General features: G+C 38.2%; 1 protein-coding gene across 2 annotated transcripts in view; it reads right to left on the reverse strand.

Moving 5' to 3' along the window:
- Nucleotides 1-27,282, reverse strand: part of CNGB3 (cyclic nucleotide gated channel subunit beta 3) — a 169,456-nt gene that overhangs the window by 31,550 nt on the left and 110,624 nt on the right. For both annotated transcript variants that reach the window (NM_019098.5, XM_011517138.3), the window contains 4 exons: nucleotides 27,024-27,165; nucleotides 23,191-23,350; nucleotides 20,255-20,352; nucleotides 5,860-5,943 (listed from right to left, as the gene is read on the reverse strand). In NM_019098.5, the coding sequence (NP_061971.3) occupies nucleotides 5,860-5,943; nucleotides 20,255-20,352; nucleotides 23,191-23,350; nucleotides 27,024-27,165 (484 nt within the window). The remainder of the gene's footprint in view (nucleotides 1-5,859; nucleotides 5,944-20,254; nucleotides 20,353-23,190; nucleotides 23,351-27,023; nucleotides 27,166-27,282) is intronic.

Raw genomic sequence — 27,282 nt, forward strand, 5'->3', positions numbered from 1 at the left:
AGGAAACACTCATTTATGAATGAGGAAAATATAACTTAACTATTCTCTGGGAGATTCTAAAGTCTTTCCTTACACCTAGGTTTATTTTCCTGAACATCAACTATTGTTGCTTTATAATTGCTGGGTTGTGTTTAAAGTTATCAGACTCCACCTTTTAGTTAACATCCAGGAAGCTGAAATTCTTATTTTATCTCCCCATTACTCTTATAAGGAAGGTAGAGTAAGTACTATTATTTCCTTTTTACAAAAATTAAAACAAAGGCACAGATTGGCTTAGCCAATTAGCTAAAGTTATATGACTCGGTAATTAGAAGCGAAGGAAGCCTAGAACCCACATCTCCTAACTGAGCAATGCAAGAAATACGTTTAAGTTTTGCATTGTGTAAAATACATTTTTAAATTAAAATTTTGGGGTTGGTTTTTTTTTTTTTTTTTTTTTGAGACAGGGTCTTGCTCTGTTCCCCAGGCTAGAGTGCAGTGGGCATGATCTCAGCTCACTGCAACCTCTGCTTCCTGGGTTCAAGTGATCCTCCCACCTCAGCCTCCTGAGTAGCTGGGACCACAGGCATAAGCCACCATGCCTGGCTAATTTTTGTATTTATTGTAGAGACAGGGTTTTGCCATGTTGTCCAGGCTTGTCTTGAACTCCTGGACTTATGTGATCCTGCCACCTTGGCCTCCCAAAGTGTTGGAATTACAGTCGTGAGCCACTGCACCTGGCCTGTGCAAAATATTAAGCATATATTTATACTCAAAAACAGATAAAAGTAGAAATTCCAATATAGATGGATCTTATATTTATTTACATACTATTAATGCTAATAACAATATCATGTCTTTGCATATTACTTTAAAAAATCATTACATTATCTGACATTTACATAGCTCCTTATTTTAATTCCTATATTTGTTCTAGCAGAACATGCTACTTTATAGCTGTAAAGCATCTCATAGATATTAATTCATCTAATTCTTGCAAAAATCCGAGTGAAGTCAAGTAGGAAACGTATCATTACTCTTATTTAACAATTGGCAGTCGAGGTTTAAAAAATTAAGTGTCTTGAGCAAACTTATAAGGCTCGCAGGTGACAGCGCCAGAACTAGCAGCACCTATGTCATCTGACTCTATATAATACATGAAGACAGACCACATCTAACGGTGACTCCAATATCAGAACTGATCTCTTAAAAACCAATGAAATAGCCATGAATGAATTAAAAAATAAGGAAAGATATCTGAAAATTAGTTTTCCAAGAGATACTTTAGGAAGTAATGATGAGGACAGGGTCATATTCCTTATTCTTTGCGTGAAGTAATTCTCAAGGAACTGGAATGATTTTTCAAAGGCAGTTATTACAACTGACTGGAGGTAGAAGTACATAGTGGGTACTTAAATACAGTTCAGCTCTTTTAATTATTTTTTAATGATCATTTCAATAATTTTCCAAGGAGATCTGGCATAATCAACGAACCAAAACTTCCACTATTTCTTGCATATTTCTAGGCTAATTTAAGCCTTTTCTGCAAGTTTAATTAGCATTCAAATTAAGTAGACATTCCTCAGAGAATAAGGGCTGACAGCATGTGCAAAATAAGATTGAACCAAGCTCTGGTTGTTAGCGTGTGGACTAATTTGGAGAAAGTATGAAAAAACAAGAGCTTCATGTAGAGTGAGGTAACCCCTGGAGATAGCGCCCTTCAAAATTTCAGGGTTTCTGTGTAGGAAGCTATTTCTAAGGCTCATGAGGGCTTTATGACACTCAAGGGCACCCCAACAGAAAAGAGCAGTGCTACTCAAAGTGTGGTTCCTGGGTCAGCAGCATCAGCATCACTAGGAGCTTGTTTAGAGGTGCAAATTCTCAGTTTACTGAGAGTTCTTACTGCAGAAATATGAATCAGAATTTTTGGGAATGAGGTCCCAGAAATTGGTGCTTTAACAAGAGCTCTAGGTGATTTCTGCCCTGCCATAGAGCATCTGAAGAAAACTCCCACTCTTTCAACCAGCCCAAGCTACCACTCAGTCAATTTCTGAACCATCCTGGGGATTAAGTAGGTCAGCAAACTTGGCCCCAAATGCTGTCATCTCTTAAATTATATAGATAACCTCAAATTGAACGTATTTTTTTCCTTCCCCTTGCCTTCAATATTTTGTGAAAACGATAAGCAAAACAAAGCTGACTTCAGCTGTCTCAAGTCCTGTCAAGTAACAGCCTTTCTTCTCTGTCAATATCTACTATCATGTAAATCCACTCTTAAAGAAATGTGACTTGTCATTCTAGCGTCTCCTTGTTTCTACTCTCCTGTGGGCGGCAAGCCACCCAGGTGCCGAGGCAAGAGACCGAGGACACAAGCTGTTCCAGTATAATAAAATATAAAATAAGAATAGTTATACCAGATATAGATCTTAGATATGATTATATATGAATATCATTAGTCATGAGTTTGTAGCAATTACTCTTTATTCCAATATTATAATAATCCTCGCTCTATAATCATAACCTAGGGAAAACCAGGCCATGCAGACATAGGAGCTGAGGGGACACAGTGAGAAGTGACCAGAAGACAAGAGTGCGAGCCTTCTGTTATGCCCAGACAGGGCCACCAGAAGGGCTCCTTGGTCTAACGGTGACGCCAGCGTCTGGGAAGACGCCCGTTGCCAGGTGGACCGTGGTCTAGCAGTAGCAAAAAGTGTCAAGGAACAACACCCGCTACTTAGCAGACTGGGAAAGGGAGTCTCCTTTTCCCTGGGGGAGTTTAGAGAAGACTCTGCTCCTCCACCTCTTGTGGAGGACCTGACATCAGTCAGGCTCACCCGCAGTTATCCGGAGGCCTAACCGTCTCCCTGTGATGCTGTGCTTCAGTGGTCAGGCTCCTAGTCTGCCTTCATGTTCCATCCTGTACACCTAGCTCTGCCTTCTAAATAGCAGTAGTAAATTAGTGACAGTATTAAAAGTCTCTGATATGCAGAAATAATAGCATAAGCTGTCTTTCTCTCTGTCTCCTCTCCCTCTCTGCCTCGGCAGCTAGGCAGGGAAGGGACCCCTGTCCAGTGGACATGTGACCCACGTGACCTTACCTATCATTGGAGATGACTCACACTCTTTACCCTGCCCCTTTTGCTTTGTATCCAATAAATAACAGCACAGCCAGACATTCGGGGCCACTACCGGTCTCCGCGCATTGGTGGTAGTGGTCCCCCGGGCCCAGCTGTCTTTTCTTCTATCTCCTAGTCTTGTGTCTTTATTTCTACACTCTCTCATCGCCGCACACAGGGAGAAGCCCACCGACCCTGTGGGGCTGGTCCCTGCACTCTCCCACCTACTTAATTCCTTTTCCTGCCTTATTTGTCTCCACTGATGTTTTTGTTATTGAGTGATGAATGTGATGTGAAGAAGAAATTAGAAATGAAAAGGCTGCATCTACTCTGCATTTCATACTTTGTTAAACAAATTTGCACTGCTTAGGGGCACAGGTGCTAGAGTTTATGTGAGTTATCACAGTTTTCAATCTCTGTTGCTACTGGCCCCAAATGAAAGGACATGTTGTGGTGCATTAAAGTCATGTCATTTCAGTACACCACTGCCCCCAAGGGGTTCTTGGACTGCACTATGGCTTGTATTTCCCATTTCAATAAAATTGATTTCATATCACCAATCTGCCTTCTTTTAACTTGGACTAATTTGTGTGGGATTGTATATTCTTGCTTCCCATTTTATCATAATCTCTCTTCCATTTTCCCCCTTCATCTCTGAAAGCTCATTCTCAGTTGCTCTCTCTGACTTTTCTTCATTGATCTCTTCAAACACTAGAGCTCTTCAAAGTTAGAGGCAAGGCCCTCTTCTCTGACCTTTCCTTGAGCTTTTCTTGAAGTCTGCTTCCTTTATATTACAGTTCCCAGTAAACCCCAGTTCCATCCTCTCTCATTAGACTGATTTTCACTGTGTACTTGGCATCTCCACCTGATGCCTTGAAGTACCTCATACTCCATTTGACTTTGTCGTTCACCACAGTCTCCATCACTCACTTGCTTCCGTTCCTTGGATATGCCAAGCTCCATCTTGCCTCTCAGCTCATGGCTCCAAGTCTTCATAAAAAATGCCATCCTGTCCACATTTTTTTTTTAAACTAAAGAACTATTTATCTTTAGATTTTTCAAAGGTCACTCCTGACAACCTAATAACCTCCCCATCTCCCAACCCTGGATCTAAATTAAGTGTCTTTGCCACTACATACTCTTCTGGCAACTTCTATTTTCCCTTTATACAACTTAGCACATTTTGGAATTATGTATTGACTTAATTTCACTTGTTTATAGCTTGTCTCTCGCATGAAGCCAGTGGTTCTCAGTTTTGGCTGCATTTTAGAATGATATAGGAGTTTTAAATAATACTGGTATATGGCCTCCATCTAGACCAAATCAGTCACTGAGGGGTGGAGCCCAGACGTCTTCATTCAGGTGATTCTGATGTGCACTGTGAATTGAATACCACAGCACTAGAAAGGTAGGCCCCTAAAGGACAAGAACCATCTTTTTTTTGCTCAGTGCCCTCCACTGTTTCTGGCTCATCATATTGAGAAATATTTACTGAGTTTTGTGGAATAAATCATTCTAAAATTGTTCTAACATTTACCTTATTATAGTTCTCTGCACTCCCTCTATAGACACAGTTCCTTCCTTTTTGCCTTAGCTCACATTCTTTCCTCTACCCAGAACACCTATTTCCTCTTTTACTTGGTGTACTCCAATTCATTTTTCAAGACTTAGCTCAGACATCATCTTCTCTAGGAAATCTTACCGTAACCAGGAAGGACAGGTGCCCCTCCTTTGTGTCTTACAACAGCGTGTGCTTGCTTTGACCATAGCATTTAACACATTATTTTGAAATGATAAAAGTGCCTCTCATCTTTGTTCGCTTGTGAACTCACCAAGGTGTTGGATCATCTTGCATTTTTTGAACTACTCATTTTTCTTTTTAAATTTTGATTATTGAGTTTATCTTTGGTTGAGTCTGTCATGATATAAATCCCAGGGTCATCATTCCTTTCCTCTCCCTTAAGTTAGTGATCAGAAATATGCAAAAATATTTATCTGAGGGGATGTTCTTTTTATTTATAATAGCAAACATTTGAAAATTGATCCTGATACATCCATAGACTGAAACATCATGCAGCTTTAAAAAATCATATTGTAGATTACTTAATACATAGTGTTCATATGATATATTGTTACATGACAAAACATGTTTCAGAACATATGTACAGTATGATGCCACTTTTATAGCACAAGCTTTATCTATCCATCAGTCAGTATAAAAAGATAGGCCAAAATATATGAAGAGTGGTTATTATTGGATGGTGGTATTTATGTCCTTATGTTTTTATGTGTTTTCTATTTTAAAATAATGAACATGCATTATTTTGTAATCATAAAAAGCACAGTACAGTTTTTTAAAATGTGGCATTGATTATTCACTACTTGGGAGAGCAAAATGAAGGTAACTGATATTTTGCCGAAGACATAAAAAAGGCTGAACCACCTATCGCTTCTGTAACTTTTTCCTCCACTTTAAATATTTGAAATTAATAAGCTGTGACGATTGATAATTAACATTTAAACAGAGCAGTTTCTCAGACTACCCACACTTCTATCCTATAATATAAGTAATGAAATCCATATTGTCTTGTTCCTTTGTGAACTCTGAGAGCACGTTATTGCTGTACAGAGCTATATATCATAATTATTTCTATACTATGGAATTCACCCTGAACAAATTTTGTTTAAACAATGTTCTTGACTTATGTCCGAAATCCTCAAATGCATTTATTAGTTGTGCATTTGAAAAATAGCATGCACTCACCTTTTTGCAGACAAAGTCACCAGGCAAATAGAGAACGGATTTCAATCTTAGCAACATGTCATAAATCATCTGTGTATCACAACCCTATATAAAAAGAAAAATAATTCTTATAGAAACAACTAAAGGCCAATATTCCAAATGAATTCAAAACTCAATGAAAATAAACAGTAATATATATTGTCTGCATTAGCATAAAAATATTAACTGCCAATGGCTATGGACATGTCATGACTCAAAATTTAGAAAAAAAATACCTATAGTATAATGGCAAGAATTTAGATCTTGCTCAGATAGACTTGGGTGTGAATCCTGTCTCTACTACATATTGCTACGTAACCTCTCATCCTCAGTTTCCTAACCTGTAAAATGGGGATAAAAATGGTACTTATAACAAAAACTTAATGTGGTACTTAATGATAGCTATTAATGATAATATACTAATAATAGATTGTTAGTATATTAGGACCAACATAGATCAAAATCTTTGCTAGATATTTTTCTTTCTTAAAACATGTTTCACACCATTGTTAGATATTATTATTTAACCTTGCAGGCTGGTCTATCTTTCTTCTCCAACTCAATTATCTTCTTAAGGCAGGGAAAAAAAAAGTACACAATAGATACAAAAGCAATATCTGTTGAGTGAATGATTGTTCATATTCACTTTAATAGTGTAAGAAACACTGTTTGGCTATAGGTCTGTATTTGTCATCTGTTTAAATAACTATATCTATATGAGCTAAAAAAAATCTTTAGGTGCTACAAAAAACTCACTTACATAGTAGTTTTGAATCTTTTGCTTTCAACAAATATATATTTTTTCATTTTCTCTCAGAGCTGCTAACATGTAACAGCTTTCCTCTTGTGGGTGGTCCTGTCCACCCCTTGAGGGAATTATGATTTTGCTGTGAACTAATTGTAGAGTCAGTGGCAGAGAAAGGAGAAGCAAAGGGTCTGCTTCCAATTTGTGGATCAGACAATCATTCCTTTAGCAATCACCAGTTTTCTGTAACAGCTTCAGTAGCAGACACTTGACCTAGATCCATATGAAATTTAGACTTCAGGGTTGCTTGACTGATAAGGCAAGCTAATAATTTATGATTGAAGTATCTCCAAGTAGCCATTGGTGAGAAGCATTCAGATGAATGTGCTGTTAGAATTTTTAAAAATCACTTCAGAAAGTATAGCTTTTGCTTCTCTAGGATAGAAAAAAAGGCCAAGGCCAGAAGACATATCTTCTTAATACAGTCTAACAAATACTGATGAGAAGCTGTTTTGAGCAAGGCTTTGTATGATAACCTTGGAGGAATTAAAGATGAAAGAAAGTAAGTCTAGTTGGGGTGATCTTGTAAGTAAGCAGAAAAGCTGTAATTGATGGTAGAAGATAATCATGTCATAAAACATTCCACAAATATCCATAAAACTTATAAGATAAAGAGAGTTAATTTTGCTTGGGAGTGGGATGGGAGAGATGGGAAGCACCAGGAAAGTGCTCATTTGGGTAACAAAATTTGAATCATTTGAGGATGAGGATGATTTGTATTTGCAAAGATGCACAAAGCCCCTTTTATGCAGAGGGAAATTTACCTTTTCTTTGGCTGCTATGTATTTGCTTTGTGCAAAGTATACACGTTTTATTTATATTTGTTTTAGTCCTACTATGTCTGATAGGTTACCATATTTGCTAAAGCAAATTACAAACATAATTTTTTTTCTAAAAGGCATGGTTCTTTTTTACTAAAAATTAAATAAATGTCCCAAGTGCTTAATTTCTTTAAATGCTGTCATCATTTTGGAATAATTTCACTTCAGAAATTGGTATTCTGATTCATTTAAAACTCACTTAGAAAAAGGCAAATAGACTTTGGATTGATTTTTGGATCTTCTCCACTAAAGAAAATTTGTGTCTTTGATATGGTAAAGAAAATCCACTTGAAATATGCTTGGAAGTTCTTGAACATGTACATGTCTGGAATATTTCTGCAATGAAGGTAACTCTCAGTCACTCATGTCCATGGAGAAGATTTACATTGTAAATGATCAGAAATAGAAGATCTCAAAAGACCCACTTATATTCGTTTTCATATAAATAATTTTAATTTTTGGCACTAATTTTTAAGGTTTTAATTATAATTTGTAAATCAAAAATGAAATTTTTATTCCTTGAACAACTCCTATCAGAATGTATTTTGATGAAAATTCCCAACTATATTAAGTTATATTCATGGGAAATATTAGTGATTTTAAATATTGTTTTCCTGTGGCAGTAATTCTGATTTCATATAAGTACATATATAATATAAAAATTATATATGTATATATAATATGTACATATAATATATAATATAAAATATATATTATAAAAATTATATACAATTTATATATAATTATATACATATAAAATAGAAATACTGCCACAGTAATCAGAATATATGTATATATACACACACACAAATATGTGTGTGTATAGTAAATTCTTATAATTTTATGTTGCCTTGGCACCAATTTTGAATATAAGTTTAACTTTCTCATACTGGAAGTGGGATCAGTCACACTTGACAAGGTTTCCAGTTCTCTACCTCTTCCCAGTTCCTCAGTGTGGTTGATCCAGATACCTGCTTTATACCACTGCCTCCTGGTGACCACCGCTCTATGGTACAGCTGGATGCAATTGACTAGAATTGCCCCACTGACCCCCAGAGCCCACGTAGACGAGCAGATATTCCACAGTAACTACCTGTCAGTCACAGCAAGGCCCCATGGAACTCATGTCTGCTTGCTGTAAACCAACCTGTTAGAACTTCCCCTGGGAAACCTCCCTGGGTAACACCCTGGATCCCAAAAAGGCTTTGGCCCATTCTCTCTCTCTCCCCACTGGTTGAGCACGAGTGTTACCCCTTCCCATTGGCCCTGTGAGGCGTGCTGCCCTTTTCTGTCTGGGATCTGTAGGTAATGAAAATGCTTCTATTACTTCATGGGTTTTGTTGTGCTGCTGCTTCTGTGTCTCGCCTGACTGACATATCCAAACCTAACTTTTTTTTCCAGTAGAGGGTTTTCCTAGGGAGTGGCTATCTTATAGGAATAAACTGGACACGGGTCAGACGAAAGCCACAACGGCATCGGCCAATATAAACAAATTCCCTGTGAAAGAAATGTCTGTTCATGGTCGACCACCTAGGCATGAGGTTGCCAACCGGGATCAAGAAGTATCCCATGAAAGGCACACTGTGAACAGCCACCACTCATCCTCTGGAACCCCGTGAGGGCAAGGCTGGAGTACAGCCACTCTCCCAAGACAGAACCCAAGACCAAATGAGAGGAAATCCTAAAAATGTGGCAGCACAGTTGGCCTCCGTATCCATGGATTCCACCTCCACGGGTTCAAACAACTGTGGATGGAGAATATTCAGAAAAAAAATAGCAATACCACAATAACAAAATACAAACGAAAAATACGGTATAACTACTATTTACATTGCATTTGGTACTATAAGTAATCTATAGTGAGTTAAAGTATACAGGAGGATGTGGGTAGGTGATATGCAAATACTATGCCACAGATTTTGGTTTCCTCAGGGGTCCTGGAACCAATCCCCTGTGGATACCATGGGGTAGACTATATTTTTTTCAATACTGAAAAAATTGGAAACAACGTACTGTCAATCTATGGGCAGATAAAATATTGAATATTTGTAGATTGGAATATCACAAAGTAGTTAAAATAAACTACAGATCGGCCGGGTGTGGTGGCTCACACCTGTAATCCCAGATTTTGGAGGCTGAGGTGGGTGGATTGCTTGAGCTCAGGAGTTTGAGACCAGCTTGGCCAACATGGCAAAACCCCATCTCTACTAAAAATACAAAAATTAGCTGGGCATGGTGACACGTGACTGTAATCCCAGCTACTTGGGAGGCTGAAGTGACAAGATCGCTAGAACCTGGGAGGCGGAGGTTGCAGTGAGCCAAGATTGCACCATTACTCTCTAGCCTGGGTGACAGAGTGAGACCCTGTCTTAAAAAAATAAATTAATTGACTAAAAAATGAAAATAAAGATTAAAATAAACTATATATATTTAAATATATGATTAAACTCAACCAATAGTGTGGTCTGAATATAGAATATATTCAGTATGATTCCACCTACAAAAATCTAAACACACTACTACCAGTTTATGTTTATATGACCATAAAGTAAAATGGTGAAGATGAGGAGTGGCGGGATATCCTCAGATGAGGGTCATCTTAGTGGCCACCTTAGGGAGGGAGGAAGGAGAATGGGTTTGGGGAGAACTGATGAAACTTCAACTTTCATTTTTATTAATTTTAAATTTTAAGAAAATAAGTGTCTCCCTTTGTGGAGAAATGTGTTTAGCCTTCTTTCCCCTTTTATCCTTTAGGTGGGCTCAGGGACAGATAGCAGCAGTGAAGGAAGTCGGATCAATGGGAAACGTGAGACCAACCTAGGAGACAAGCCTGAACATAGATAAGCAAACAATTAGCACTTTTCTTGGCAGGAATACACACAAGCACTTACATCGATAGCTTTCAGCTGACGGCTTGGATTTTCTCAGAGAAAAACATTTGAACCAATCTAAATATGACTTTTTATTAACATACTTGGATAGCACATGGATCAAGTCATGCAAACTGAATTTAGCAGCTGTATATAGTAAAAACTTAGAATTTAAGTTTCACCAATTAAGTGATCCTGTCCCCTAATGATTACTTTATGAAAAGATGCCACTAGCTTTGGGGCAGCTTTGGTTTAGGACTAAATCTTTCTTATTTGGATTTAGGCCTAGTGAAATAAAGTTTGCATTATGATGTCATTATATTTTATAATGTGTTTGAGAACTATTATTATTCTTTTTTTTCCTCCAGAAAATGATTATTTTCTTGAGATATACATTGCTTCATTATTGTGTGATTAAAAAGAATTACATCCTGGGGCTTTTTCTCTCGGCAACCCAGCTCCATTTTGTTTACAGTTAGGAAATTTTCTGATGTATGAAAAGACAGGATTGCTTTGTAAATGTCTCTTTTTTCTATAAAGTGAGAGTAACTGAGAAAGTATCAACATTAACATTATATTAGTACATAATATTTATACTATGTTTTACTGTCTTATCCTTACCTGTTTAATTCTTCCAGCCTCCCACTGATGCCTGGCATTAATGAATATATGGTCATCACTCCTGGCTTTTAGATAAGAACTGGAGTCCCAGGAAGCCTGTCGACTTTCTCTAAGGTCACACATGCGGTAGGTATTGGAGGAAGAGTATCACCAGAGTGTGTGTTTTTATCTACACTTGGAGCAACTTGAGATCAAAGTGTTTGTATTATTCACTCTTGTATCCTTAGTGTCTCATCAGGGTTTAGGGCATGTTGGATGGTAAATAAAAATGGGCTGACATATAGAATGAAGCTGTTAGAAATTATTCCATTTTGGACAATGAGAAATTCAGTGCTGTATAGCTGTGTTACCGATTTGAATGAGGATATTAGAGATTTGAATGGAGTTGGGAGAAATGTTATTTTGATTCACAACAGAGCCATAGGTTAGATGGTGGTTCTTGTACCCAGGAAATTCCACTTTTAATAATGGCAAGCTCCGAATACAATTGTAAAGTTGGTAAAATGTTTCCTTGGAATGCGTACCCTCTTAGTCCTATAGAATTTCTCCATTTCTAGGCTCATTTCTGCTTTCTTTGAAACAGAACTTAAGATAGCATCAGTATTTTATAACTCACTGTGAATTTAAGTCACTCCCAAGTATAAGCAATGGTCTTCAGGGCTTTTTCCATCTCAGCCTGCTTATTACAAAAAGACGTGCTTTGTTCTACCTTAAACCCCATTCTCATTAAACAAGTAAGTTATAGGTGATATGACTAGGGCAGGGAATTCTGAATTCAGTTCTTCATGCCATTGACTATGCGAGGCATGATACTGATTGGTAGCTGTTGGGACCAGCAAAGTCAAATGTGATAAAAAATTTGCAAAGTGCTGTGATGTCATAATTTTTAATATTACTTCTAAGTAATATTAGACCTAAACTTACAGTCAATATTTGCAACACTAGTAAAAATCATCTTCGTCAAACTTTCTCTGAAAATTGGCAATAGTTCTAATTTTCTAGGAGTTTGGGTCAAAGTGGGAAGTCATGAGTTAGACGGAACTCTGAGGATGAAACTAATCCAGCAGTCCCCAGTCTTTTTGGCACCAGGGACCAGTTTTGTGGAAGACAATTTTTTCACTGATGGGCAGTTATGGGGATGGTTTCGGGATGATTCAAGCACATTACATTTATTGTGCATTTTCTTTCTATTTATTATTACATTGTAATATATAACAAAACGATTATACATCTCACCATAATGTAGAATCAGTGGGAGCCCTGAGCTTGTTTACCTGCAACTAGACAGTCCCATCTGGGGGTGATGGGAGACAGTGAGGAATTACCAGGCATTAGATTCTCATAAGGCAAGTGCAACCTAGATCCCCGCATGCATAGTTCACAATAGGGTTCTGCTCCTATGAGAATCTAATGCCACTGCTGATCTGACAGGAGGCGGAGCTTGGGTGGTAATGCCAGCAATGAGCAGTGGTTGTAAATACAGATGAAGCTGCTCTCACTGACCCACCACTCAACTCCTTCTTTGCTGCCCGGTTCCCAACAGGCCACCGACTGGCACTGATCTGTGGCCCTGGGGTGGGGACCCCTGATCTAATCAATTTTTCTATGATCAGGCAGGGCCACAGGAAGAATCTGATTTTACCTGTGTAGAAACTCCCACATGGTTGCATCAGTTTTATTTCTCCATTTAATAATAACTATGTAATTTACTATATGCCAGGTACTGATATAAGTGCTTCATATGTTTTGAGTCCCTTACAACCAAGTATGTTATCTCATTTATTTAGTATCTCCCCTCCCTATCGGAGGGCTCCAGAGGGCAGAAACAACATGGCTGCAGTAGCTGGGCAGTAGCCCTCCATGTCTGGCTCAGTGCTTTAGACAGGTCAACTGCTGAGGATGTATAGTTGAATGGAGTTCATTTAGATTATAAACTCACTATTCAAAATATTTTTTAAAAGTCTAGCAACAATACTTCATTTCTAATACCATTAGGGTAAAAATAAAGTTGGTAGAAATGAAACACAAGTCTCACTGTAGTCTCACTCTCACGTTCTGATTTCAGGCCCTGTGGAGTAAATATGTGATGACATATCAGATAAGTAGGATGTCACTGCTGGGGATCTGCATGTGAGTGCTAGAAAGCATGCTGCCATTCCGGTTCTCTTCTTGGCTCAGTCTGTCACTCACACACAAAACACTTCCTTCTCATCCTTCCGTCCACAGAAGTCACAGCCTTTGCAGGCTCTCTTTGCCACAGAATCGCAAACAATGAGTCAAAGATCCCAGTGAGGTGTCCTGTTGGGATGGGTTCTGCATAATTACCAGAGCAGCAAATAGACATATTGTGCCTTCCTTGTCGGACTGTAGTACCTACATTTCAATTTTGGTATCTCTGGGTCTCTGGTTTCCTACTGAACTGGGGGCTGTTTCTAAAGGATGCGATTCTAATGCACGCCACTAGGTGGCGCAACAGAACTTTTATTAAAGTTTCTCCCGTTTCTGGTAATGCAGTAGTAGAGGCAAAATGTGATTTCCCCAGCATTTAATATGATAACATATATTTAAAAATCGAGATCGAAATAATAAATCATCAGAAATGAGGGGAAATTGCCCATCTCATAGAAATGAATCGCTGCTTATTAGCTTAATACTTGTGCTTGGGCCTGGAATAACGTGAAATCTGCAAGGAAGAGGAATCATTTTTGTGAAAAATTAATATATATATATAATTTGACTATTCATCTCTGAGCTATTTCAAATCTCTGATCACCCATGTTGAAGCAGCAAATCTTACTAATTAACCACAATTTATTGAAGCAAAGTTTTAGTGAAAATCTGTGACTCTAATTCCACCTGCTTTGATTAAGAGGAGAAAAAACCTACATGAGATTCAGAGCCTTTTCTTAGCAGGAAAGTAGAAAAGTGTATGTGACTGTAGGTATCTATCTAATGTGCCAAGTCTTAGTCTGTGAATATCGCCAAAGGATTGCCTTGGTCTTGACCTTTTTTTTTTTTTTTTTTTTTTTGCGACAGGGTCTTGCTCTGTTGCCCAGGCTGGAATACAGAGGCACAATCATGGCTCACTGCAGCCTCAACCTCCTGGGCTCAGGTGATACTCTTGCCTTGGCCTCCTGAGTAGTAGGGACTACAGGCACCTGGCTAAATTTTCTATTATTTGTAAAGATGAGGTCTCACTATGTTGCCAGGCTGGTTTTGAGCTCCTGGGCTCAGGCAATCCTCTTGCCTCAACCTCCCAAAGTGCTGGGATAACAGCCATGAGCTACCGCACTGGGCCAGCTTGACTTTGGACTCTAGTGAAACTTTTCCAGTTCCTTCCCACCTTATCAGTGATCCGGATAGGGTTGGTAGAGAACTGAAGGTAAGAATGATAGAGTGGTGTGAAGAAAGCCGTGCTCAAACTGTCCCAATGCTTAGAGCTCAATGACCTCAGTCAGGTAAGTTGTTTGCTCTCCGTAAAATGGGATAGTAACAAAGCTTTCATTGGAAGTGTATTAGTTTGTTAGGGCTGCCATAACAAAGTTATACAGGCTGTGTGTGCTTTAAACAACAGAAATTATTTTCTCACAGTTCTGGAGGCTAAAGGCTTAAGATCAAGGCATCAGCAGGTCTGGTTTCTTCTGTGGCCTCTCTGCTTGGCTTGCAGATGGCTACCTTCTCACTGTGTCGTTACATGGCTTTTCCTCTGTGCACTTGCACCTGTGGTGTCTCTGTGTGTCCAAATATCCCCTTCTTATAAAGACACCAGTCAAATTGAATTAGGACCCATCCTCCTAGCCTCATTTTAACTGAATCACCTGTTTCAGTAAACAGGTTAATACTTTTACATGCTTATGAGCTTTCACCCAGGTGCCTCTAGTTCCTCACTCCATGGGCTCCTACGCATCCTTCTAGGTCCCACACCTGGACCATTCCCTCCTTTGTGCACTCAGCTCCCTGGGTGCATAGGTGGCTTTCAGTGAAGGGAGGAGACTGGTTCAGAAGCAGTGCAAGGATCAGTCAGGTATAAATTATGAGATGTAGGGTGGAGGATCACTATTCATCCTATTTCCTTCCTAAGAAAATAAATTTGTGTAAATTGCTAAGACTACCTCTATGAAAATAAATTTAGAAAGATTCCATACCTACATATTTTCTATTTCACTTGGCTTTACAAAAAAAAAAGTTTTTTTCATGTAACAGAAATATAAATGTAAATGGATTCTTTCTGGAAAGAACTGTATCTTTAACAGAAATGTCAGGAAAGAATGAATCTAAGTTATACACAACATTAGCAAGATGTGAAGATTTAACCTTTTTTCTCAATCAGATGTTGCTGATTTGGTGGAGTACCAAAAAGTACATATAGAAAGCAAAAAAACTATGAGGCAAAAAACTGATATCTTCTCAAATAGGAGATGATCCCATAAAAGTCATTGGTATCTAATTTAAAGCATTTGTTTTCCTTTAGAAAAGAGTTACTTACTGTCACTTATTCTCAATTAAGTTCGTCATTCAGGTATAACGAGTTTTATAATATTTTAAAACACTGTTAAGATAATTTAGCTTAGTGACTTTCATACATTTCTGACCATACCTATAATAAGACATACATTTTCATTGTGCTTAGTACACACATAAATATGTATATGTGATTTTAAAAATAAAACATACAAAAATTTTATAATACCTACTCTTATGTATGAGGCAGTCTGCTATTTTGTTTTTAAAATTTTTTATTTACTTTTTAATTTTTATTTAATTTCAATAGTTTTTGGGGAACAAGTGGTTTTTGGTTACACAGATACGTTCTTTAGTGGTGATTTCTGAGATTTTGGTGCACCTGTCACCGAAGCAGTGTACCCACTGTGTATACACTATACCCATTGTGTAGGCTTTTATCCTTCACCCCCCTTCCCACCCTTCTCCCTGAGTCTCCAAAGTCCATTATATTATTCTTATGCCCCTGCATCCTCATAGCTTAGCTCCCACTTATAAATGAGTATATACAATATTTGATTTTCTATTCCTGAGTTACTTCACTTAGAATAATTGTCTCCAGCCAGGCGTGGTGGCTCACGCCTGTAATCCCAGCACTTTGGGAGGCTGAGATGGGCAGATCAGGAGGTCAAGAGATTAAGACCATCCTGGCCAACATGGTGAAACCCTGTCTCTGCTAAAAATACAAAAATTAGCTGGGCATGGTGGCACTACTCAGGAGGCTGAGGCAGGAGAATCGCTTGAACCCGGGAGGCACAGGTTGCAGTGAGCCGAGATTGTGCCACTGCACTACAGCCTGGGTGACAGAGCGAGACATTGTTTAAGAAACAAAAAACAACAAAAAAAGGAATAATGGTCTCCAACTCCAAGTTGCTGCAAATGCCATTATTTTGTTCCTTTTTATGGCTGATGGGTATTCCGTGGTATATTGGTGTGTATATACAAATACATCAATATGTAGTAGAGGTGTCTGCAACTTAGAAATGGAGTTTACAGTTGAGTGTTATTTTGCAGAACAATGTAGAGTAAGTCTCATTCCTTGTTCATATAACAGACTTTAGTATATGAAACTTCTGCTGCCCTTGAATTTATTTATTTTTCTCACAACTAAACATCCTCAGCATCTACACATTTTCTTTTGGGGCCATTCTTCTTTTTTTTTTTTTTTTTGAAAATGGAGTAATAATTTACGTAAAATGAAATATACAGATCTTAAGGGACAGTTGGATCAATTTTGATAAATGTATACACTTATGTACCTTCCCCGGCAAGACAAAAAACATTTCCATCACCCTACAAAGTTCCCTTATGCTTCTTCCTAATCAATCTCCTCATCCCCATTCACCACCAGAAGCAATCATTAATCTGACTTCCACCATTACAGAATAATTTATGTTGCCCAGGCTGATCTTGAACTCCTGGCCTCAAGCTATCATCCTGCCTCCACCTCCCAAAGTCCTGGGATTACTGGCATAAGCCATGGAACCTGGCCTGCAATATTTTCCTTTTGGACCTAGGTTTGGAATTTTACTTTTATGCTTGTTGACGTTAATCTTGTTGGCTTTGCTTGTTGTTTCAAAGTATTCAGTAATTTTAAATTTTGTAATACATTTTATTATATTCCTTCTTTCTTTGTGTCATCTGCCAATTTGAAAACCACATCTTTTATATGATCATCAAAATATTGATGGAAATCTAGCACAGGCCATAGCTAAGAAAAGAGTCCTAGAATACTGACCTAACTCTAATAACTTAGAGTCATGGGTTAACCTAATGCTGGGAGTGACTATGCCTAACCATTCTACTATACAGCTTCTGCTTCTTCATCTTGTTTCTAATATTATTGATTATATAATTTTAAGACATATCCTTCTGTCTGGATTACATTTTTTCTTCTTTCCATACTTACATCTTAAGTGATCACATTGAGTCCTTTGGCTTGAAATACACCAATATGCTGACAGGTCCAAATGGATTGCTCCAGCTTGGACGTCTCCCCCGAACTCAGATTTATAAACCAAACTGCCTACATGAAATTTTCAACTGGAATCTAACAGTCACCTCATCAAACAAACACATCTGTTTTTGTGCTGATATTAAAAGGACACCACAGACTGGGTAATTTATAAATAATAGAAATTTATTTCTCACAGTTCTGAAGACCGAGAAGTCCAAGATCAAGGCATTAGCAGGTTTGGTGTCTGGTGAGGGCTGCTCTTTCTTCCAAGATGGCGCCTTGTTGCTGCATCCTCCAGATGGGAGGAACACTGTGTCCTTACATAGTGGAAGACTAGGAGGGCAAGAGAGTTCTTCCTTCCCCTTGAGACCTTTTATAATGGTGCTAAACCCATTCATGAGGGTGGAACCCTCAAGACTCAATCACTTCCCAAAAGGCCACATGTCTTCATGCTGTTGCATTAGGGATTGAGTTTCCACATGATTTTTGAAGAAGACACCATTATCCAAATCATAGCAACATCCAAAAACAAAGAGTTGGTTTCCAGCCCACCCAACCTACACTTACTTTAAAGTTTCCTATTTTGCAAATGATATCTTTGTTCTTCTTGTTCCTCAGGCCTAAATCCTTGGAGTCATTTTTGGTCCCTTTCTGTCTCTTACCCTCTTCATGTAATCAAACAGGAAAAACTATGGGCTTTTTGGGTTTGAATATACCCAATATTTCGCCACTTCTCAAAAACTCTGCTTCAATAACCCTGGGTCTGTTCACCATCATCTCTTCCACAGATGGTTGTGATAACTTCCATTTGGCCTCCCTGCCTTCTACATTTACTTCCTAAGGCCTTTTCTTCACACAGCAGGAAAGATCCTGTTCAAACTGGTCTTGAATAGGTCATTTTCTGCTCAAGAGCCTCAGTGTCTTTGCAACTCAGAGTATAATTTACAGTCTATAGATGACTGGGCGCAGTGGCTCATGCCTGTAATTCCAGCACTTTGGGAGGCTGAGGGGGGCAGATCACTTGAAGTCAGGAGTTCAAGACCAGCCTGGCCAACATGGCGAAACCCCGTCTCTACTAAAAATACAAAAATTAGCTGGGTGTGGTGGTGCATGCCTGTAATCCCAGCTACTTGGGAGGCTGAGGCAGGAGAATCACTTGAACCCGGGAGGCAGAGGTTGCAGTGGGCTGGGATTGTGTCACTGTACTCCAGCCTGGACAACAGAGCAAGACTCTGTCTCTAAATAAATAAATAAATAAGTAAATAAAGTCTACAGATCCTCCAAGCCCCTCCATTAACTGCCGACTGCCTCAGCCTCCCTTTTTTTTCACTCTTCTCTGACTACTCTTGCTTCCACCACTCTGCCTTTGCTCCAGCCACTCTGGCTTCCTTGCAGTGTGTTTCCAGCTCAGGGCATCGTGTCATCCATCCTCCCGTAATATTCCCTCCTGTCCTCATTCCTCTCTCTCCTCTCCCATCTGCGTAGCTCACTCCCTTGCTTCTTGCAGTCCTCTGCTTAAGTGCTCAAATGCATTTAATCAGAGAGGCCTTTCTTGCCAGTACCACCCTCATCCTTCTTAACCTGTGACATGGCTGGGATCTGTGTCTCCACCAAATCTTTTGTCGAATTGCAATCCCCAATGTTGGACGTGGAGCCTGGTGGGAGGTGATTAAATCACAGGGGCGGATTTCCTATGAATGGTTCAGCACCATCCCCTTTGGTACTGTCCTCATGACAGTGAGTGAGTTCTCATAATATCTGGCTGCTTAAAAGTGTGTGACACTGACCACACCTGCCTTGGTCCTGCTCCTGCTATATAAGATGCCTGCCCCTGCTTTGCCCTTTGCCATGATCAAAAGCTCCCTGAAGCCTCCCCAGAAGCAGATGCTGCTGTGCTTCCTGTACAGCCTGCAGAACCATGACCAAATAAACATATTTTCTTTAGAAATTACCCAGTCTCAGGTATTTTTTTTTAATAGCAATGTGAGAACAACCTATACAACCTGCTTAACTTTGTTCATGGCGTTATCACCTCCACACATTTTATGCGTTTATTTTTCATTCCCTTCTTCTGGAATTTAAGCTCCACTTGAGTAAGTATTTGTTTTCAGCTATTATATTCCCAGTGGCTAAAGTGGTGCCTGAAACATGGTGGGAACTTCATAAATACTTGTTGAATGAATTAATTGAATGGATGAGTCGGTGAATGCTATACCCAGAAGGAAATATTAGGTGAGAAAAATTTATATGTGATATAATGCACAAAAAGAGTAGTAATACTTAAAACACTCAAAAAGTTAAAAATTTCTTTGTTATAATTTTTTTTTCCTGAAACAAAAAGCTTCTAAATTAAAATTTGGCCATTTTAAGAGTCTAAATCCAAAGTATTTGTAATAGAAGACATGATTAGGTATAATTCTCTGATTGTCAGGCCATTACAGAGCTATTCTGGAGCCTGATTTGTTGTGAATTGCCAAGGCACATTTATAGATGGGAGGTGATACATGTACTAGCAAAGACATAGAGCCATGTAATTTAAATTATATTTAAATTAATGCAAGAAGAGTCTGAAGAACTCTTCTTTTTTGACACCAATTAGAAGAGAAAGAGGGTTCTAAAGAATAAGCCGTTGGCTGAAGAGAGACCTGTAATTTATTTGACTCTTTAATTCCACATAATTTCTCTAGGTTATTTTGACTTTGTTAAAACATAAGGCAAAAAAACTCATAAATGCTGTATAAATCAAGAGCTTAGATTCCATAGAGAAATAGATACAGAGTCTATTAATTGTAAAAGCACTTGCCTTGAACAAGTCGACTTTGCTGATGATGCTGAAGTTCACATCAATGGCGAGGGCTAACTGGACCGTAGTTGGTAGGGTCTTAAGCAAATCAGACTCATCTTTATAAAGATAAACACATCAAACCCCGATGCAGAATAATTAATGAAATAAGTCACCAAGGTACAAGTAGAAAAATTTTTAAAATAAAGGAAACAAAATGCAAACACTTTTTATACATAATTAGATGCATCAGATTCTATATTTTCATTACTTCTATTGGACCTCCATACCTATTACAATAACACTATTATGCTTATGCAATAAAAGAAGTATTTTTAACCCTGGATGACATACTGAATAATTCCAGAACATTATGCTTGCTGAAACTTTAGCTATGAAACGTAATGATCATAGCACAAAGGCTAGTGAACAAGCTAGCATGGCTGAAGGATCTAGTTCTTATTTTCTGATTCTATTGATTCCAGCCTTAGCATTCAAGGGATGGCAAATAATAATGAGCACCATGTGGCACTGGAGAGCTTACAGAGCTCTGTCACACCCATTATCTTATTTGACCCTTGTGACAACCCCAAGGGTAAATGTTCTCATTCCTACTTTGCAGAAAGAAGAAAAACAAAAAGGACTGAAGCCCTGAGAAGCTGTAAGTGACTTGCTCCATTGTGCATAATTAGTAGGTGGCTCAGCTGGGATGGAATCTAAAGAAAAAATGTGCTAAGAGAGTAAATTCAAATTATTGTTATTTACTTGCTTATTAACTCGATGAAGAATGTGAATACATTACAGATTTTTCTACATGTGAATTAAATGATGGGCTTCAGGCTGATAAAATGTTCCGTAAACAAAATTGCCTATTCTTTTTTTTTTCTTTTTTTAAAACCTTGTATTTTAAGTTCTGGGGTACATGTGCAAGTTTGTTATACGGTAAACTCATGTCATGGGGATTTGTTATAGAGATTATTTCATCACCCAGGTATTAAGTTTAGTACCTATTCATCGTTTTTCCTGATCCTGTCCCTCTACCCACCCTCCACCCTCCAGTAGGCCAAGGGTCACGTTTGTTCCCCTCCAGAAAATTCCCTATTCTTAATGGTTAGAATTCCAAGAGTTTCTGAGAGTTGATTTTTTTTTAATGTTTTCTTATATTATTTAGAAAAGAGAGAAATTGCTGTATTACATCCCTATTTTGATTCAAATATAGATTCTAAATATGAAAATCCTTCATATATAAACACAGTTTATTGTTTCCGAGGGCTGTCTCTAGTTACCTCCTAAGCCAAGGAGTTGAATCATTATCTGCCTTCGCTAAGGGGTGCGAGGCAAGAAGCCTGGCACCACTCCTTTTGTTGCTCTGCCTGCCCACTTCAGATGCCTTCAAGTAGCTGCAGATGTTCTAGAGAGAGGCATGTTGTTTTGGTCATTCAGGAAGAGATTCTAAACACGAGGCTGGAGTTTTAAGAGGCTTAAAAGTGTCAGAAAGGTGAAGAAAAGACCCTACCATAATAACCAGTGGTTTCTGTCTGCTCTTAGGAACCTTTGTGATTTGAGAATTTCATTGTAATTTGCACTCTGGAGCATTTTTGGCTTCTTAGTGGCACTAATTCCTATTTCATATGGTAAGAACAAACTAAAAGTTGAGTTTCATTATTGTCAACTAGCAGTGCATTATCTTCGACTTATTTTATATCCCTCAGTAACAATTATTTTTAACTGCAGTAGTATAGTGGTATAGTTGTAGACACCATTAATTATTTAGCACCTCATGGAAGCAATTGTGTGCCCTGAGGCAGGATGGGAGTGGCCTGAAAGGTTGCTGCTTTCTATTAGTACAGTTGACCCTTGAACAACACGTGTTTGAACTACACAGGTCCACTTATACAAGAATTTTCTTCCGCCTCTGCTACACCTGAGAGCAAAACCAACTCCTTTTTCTCCTTCTCCTCAGCCTACTCGACAGTGAAGATGAGGAGGATGAAGACCTTTATGATGATCTAGTCTCACTTAATTACTAGTAAGTATAGTTCTTTTCCTTATAATTTTCTTAATAACATTTTCTTTTCTCTAGTTTATTTTAAGAATATGGTATATAATACAGATAACATACAAAATTTGTGTTAATAGTAAGGCTTCCAGTCAACAGTAGCCTATTAGTAGTTCAGTTCTGGGGGAGTCAAAAGTTATATGTGGATTTCTTTCTGTTATTTTGAGACAGAATCTGGCTCTGTTGCCTAGGCTGGAGTGTAGTGGTGCATCACCACATTCTGCTAATTTTTGTATTTCTAGTAGAGATGGAGTTTTGCCATGTTGGCCAGGCTGGTCTTGAACTCCTGACCTCAAGTGATCTGCCTGCCTCAGCCTCCCAAAATGCTGAGATTACAGGAGTAAGCCACCATGCCCAGCCTCAAAAGTTATATGTGGATTTCTGACTGTGGAGTGAGGGTTGGCATTGTTAACCCCCACTTGTTCAAGGGTCAACTGTACTGTGTTCTGGGTAAGAGAGTGATATTGAAGTAAGAGCAAGAGTTTGGAAGAGAAGAGATGCGGGTCTGAGTTCTATTTAGACTGTGTGCTGGCTCTGTGTCTTCGCCCAAATTTCTCAGTTAGGAGCCTCCATTTTCTACCCTTCAAAGGGATAGACAATGCCTAATTTTCCCACTTCCTTTTTTGTATGTGTGACTATATGAGACAATGTGTGTAATACCGAGCATCCAGAAGATGCTGATTAAAATTTAGCCTTTTCTCTTCCAAGGTTTTCAAAACCAGTAAGATATTTATATTTCAGGAAAAAAAAAAAACCTGTAGCATTAAACGAATGCTTTAAGGATCATTTAGTTGTTTTTCAACCTTTTGTTCAAATCCAACTAGTCTCTGCTACCTTACAGAATTTTCATCATATGACAAGGTTTACAGGAATTTAATCGGTAATCTGCCATGCTTACCTAGCATTCTTTGAGAGTCCCATGTATATTCATACCAAGTCCGAACTCGCTTTTGCACAAGTTTAGGAATGGAGTAATTGTTCATGTAGGCAATGGTGTCATCCATGCAGGCGCGGAAGTAGTTCTGATTGGCTGTAGCTGCTCCAATCACATCTCTCATCTAAAACCACAAATATGGTCACTCCACGCCCAGCAGAGGAAATGAGTTAATAAAAGTCAAATTACATGTTTTCCACATGATATACTTCCTTCTAATGCCCTGATTACTTGATTTTATTCATTCATTCATTTTTATTTTATTTATTCTTGCCCAGACAACTTTTCAGCAGTGGATTGATTTTAAACATACTGATATTGGGTCCTAATATCACCCACTTCCATAAAATATTGGGCAAATTATATTCTCTCTCTGATCCAATAAGGACAACAATAAGACCTGTAGGACAAACCAAGTGAGAATTCAGCCATGTAATGCATAGGACTACACATAGTCTTCTTTGGAAACTTGTATTTTACTGCAGAAATGTTAGTATACATTGAAAAAATTATACAGCTGTGCTTATGCAAGGAGTGTGCAATAAAAGTTGAGCAATTGTCTGGCAGAATGGCTAGTCCATTTTGGTGAGTCTTACTTTGAATGCATCCTTCATAGATTATCCAGTGTGGCTGGCTATATAGACTCAATTCATCATGAAATTGCAACCTCTGTACTTCCCTTTGTGTTGTTTAGACAGATAAAATCAAATCTCATCATGCTTAAGGCACAGTATTCAGCAGAAGTTGAAATGTGCTGAAATTACTGAAGCATCATCTACTGCTGTGACAATTCTTAAGAAACTGTCAGGTTTTAGTTCTTGGATGTTTATAACTCACCCATAAAAACCCACTCTAGGTTAAAAGCTGATCTTTAAGGTCTCAGCACAAAAAAGATATATAGCTCGACTCTTCCTCTCACATAGAGGGAGGCAAGTGGCTGTAAATATGCTTTGACTGTGGGTTTATACTAGGGAGGAAAACCAGGGCCTCACTTTCACACTCCTAAGACTTTGCTCATTCATTTTAGTAGCTTTTGAGCCTTTTCTGCTTATGGAAAAACGACTCATTCTTTGGAGTCTAGCTCAAATGGCTCTTTTTAATTGTGATGCCCTCCTCAGTTTCCATTTTTAGAGCCAAAAAATTCTTCTACATATTAAAACTATCTGCAGAGGAGCTATGCAGCTAGTCCAACTGTATATATCTTTTTGAGTCTCTTACTCCTCAGTGGCTCTTCCAAATATTCCTCAACAACCTCAATTCCTAGATCTCACTTTTCCATGCTGTTCTTGGCTGATAACTTACATTACCTAGTCACCTAAGGCTGGGAGACTTGGTATGTTAGGAGAGGGCTTGGGAGATTTAATAGAGTATTAAGTTGGGAAGCAAGGACTATTAAAAGCATTATTGATTGCTGTTGAGGCTCCAATAATTTGTAGTGACAGTAATTTGAATGGTTTGTGTGATATCCTTCAGCAATGTTGGGTTTTGTTGTTGCAGGAGTTGAGGAAGATGTATATTCTATAATGGATTGCAGGCTAGGGAAGTACATGAGAGTATGAGAGGAAGAAAAATGTCAGTTTCTGTGAGTTGCATCACAAAATAGAATATTGTAGTTAAAATGTGATGATTGGCTGGGTGCAGTGGCTCCATGTCTGTAATCTCAGCATTTTGGGAGATGAGGTGGGAGAATCACTTGAGGCCAAGAGGTCAAGACCAGCCTGGGCAACATAGTGAGACTCTGTTTCTACAAAAAATAAATGAAGAAAAGAATTAGCCAGGCATGATGGCACGCACCTGTAGTCCCAGCTACCTGGGAAGCTGAGGTGAGAGGATTGCTTGAACCCAGGAGTTTGAGGCTACAGTGAGCTATGATTAAGCCACTACACCCTAGCCTGGGCACAGAGCCAGACCCTGTCTCTTAATAAAAAAAGAGTGATGATTAGTTCCATCGTATAGTCTCTATGTGGGAATTTTGAGTGAGTGGAGGGTTTTTTTCTGTCCCAGGCTTTTAAACTTTTATTTCTATCTGTTCCCCTGCTCAGCATCTTTTATTCACTATGAGAGTTTGAGGCACATATCTGTATCTCTAGCCTCAATCTTTCTCTTGTGGTCTACTACCACATTTTCAGTGACTTGATATTCCTTCTTGTTCCTATTGGAACCTCAAATCCAATTTAAAAGCAGATGTGGTGTGGTGTATAAAACAGCACTTTTCAAACATTCGTGTGTGTATGAATCACTTGACGATTTTGTTAAAATACAAGTTCTGATTCACTAGTCTGAGGTGGGGCTTGAACTCTGAATTTCTCAAGTGCTGCTGCTGCTGCTTGTCCAAAGATTACACTATGAGTAACAAGATAATTGAACTGGTGCTAGAAATAGTATTTTAGTCTTGATGTGAAAATCGTCTTGCACATAGTAAGTGCTCAATACATGTTAAATTTTACTGTTATTATCAGTGTTATTATATATGGTTCTTCCATACGACCCTATGAACTACATGTATGAATCAGGGATGCCTCTTAATCTCTTTAAACTGGAGTTTTCTCATTCGTAAAACAGAGAAAAAATTGACTGTGATATGACAACTTCACGTTGATTTTACTAGAAATTATAAAATAATGTGATTTTTGCTATTTATATTCAAATGGATTTGAATTTAGTATCTCTCAAACCAGCTTCCTATTTCATTGTTAATATAATCTCCCCAGCCATGAAGATAATGATATTTTATACTTAACAATTTTTAGCTCTTAGTGTTCATCTTCCTAAACCTAAATATTTTCTACATAGAGTTTACTTTACTACCCCTCTCTGTATTTCATTAACATGTTAAGGCTGGAACTGCCATATCCCCGTGTATCTGTATTAACCTGTTTTATTTTCTATGTTTTGATATGTTAATATCAGGGACTTTGCTGACTGAGGCCTTGCTTGTTTCTCCCACGGTTAGAGATGGTGGCCAAATCTCCTGAGAGTGTGTCTTCCATGCGTAAACTAACTAATCTGGAACCCATATCCCAACTGCCTTCTGTATCAGGTTCTTACATGGGCTCCTACATTCAGGCCACTATCCACCTGTCCTACAAAAAAAATTAGCTTGGTGTGGTGGGGTGCAACTGTAGTTGCAGCTACTTGGGGGGCTGGGGTGGGTAGATCCCTTGAGCCCAGGAGGCTGAGGCTGCAGTGAGCCATGTTTGTGCCACTGCTCCCCAGCTTGGGTGACAGAGCAAGACCCTGTCTCAAAAAAAAAAAAAAAAAAAAAGGGCTCTATCCTTTGTAAGTGCCAACTATCTTCAATATAATAATTTATGTATTTAATTTCTTACTAGACTGACTTTTTTGAGAATAAATACAAGGAGATGCTATAGTAAACATTTGTGAAACAATAACTTATTAATTATTTTATATGGCATTTTGTAGCCTCTGGTTTAAATGACCTCTGAAGTCAATTATAACCCAGTGATTTTATAACAATATTTGAAATTTAAGTAAATAAAAGAGATTTTAATGGTTTTCATTAGGGTCCAAGTAAAAAGTTAACTTAGAAACAACTTTCTCTGAGAGTTCAAACTATGCTATTTGCTGACAGGTCTTTTGATAGATTTAATGGCTTAAAAATGGAAAAGCACTGTTGATCTAATCACATCCTCCTTCAACTCATTAAAATAGAAGAAAGTTAGTTCAAAAAAAGAAGAACCAGACAGATTTTAATTTTTCCTCCATAAAGTTTACAAAGACCTGTTAGTCTTTCAAAATGACAGCACTGTGTATCCAGTGATTCATACTCAGCTTACCTGACCAATTAAACTGGAGAACACAAAAACTCCAGAAAAAAAATTCAAGAGTTGAAAAACAATTTCAAATAAAGTTTGTGGTTCTGGAAGGCCACCAATGGTAATTAAAGTTCGAACTGCCCAATAATAACATCTCAGATACCTGTGAAAACAGAAGATATACATTTTGCTTTTTTTCTATATCATCGAAAGACCACTATTCTTGGGAGAATATAGTACTATTAAATTATAACAAATTTCCTACTAATCAAGATTTTCT

This window comes from Homo sapiens, chromosome 8, assembly GCF_000001405.40.
Source record: "Homo sapiens chromosome 8, GRCh38.p14 Primary Assembly".
Taxonomy (NCBI): domain Eukaryota; kingdom Metazoa; phylum Chordata; class Mammalia; order Primates; family Hominidae; genus Homo; species Homo sapiens.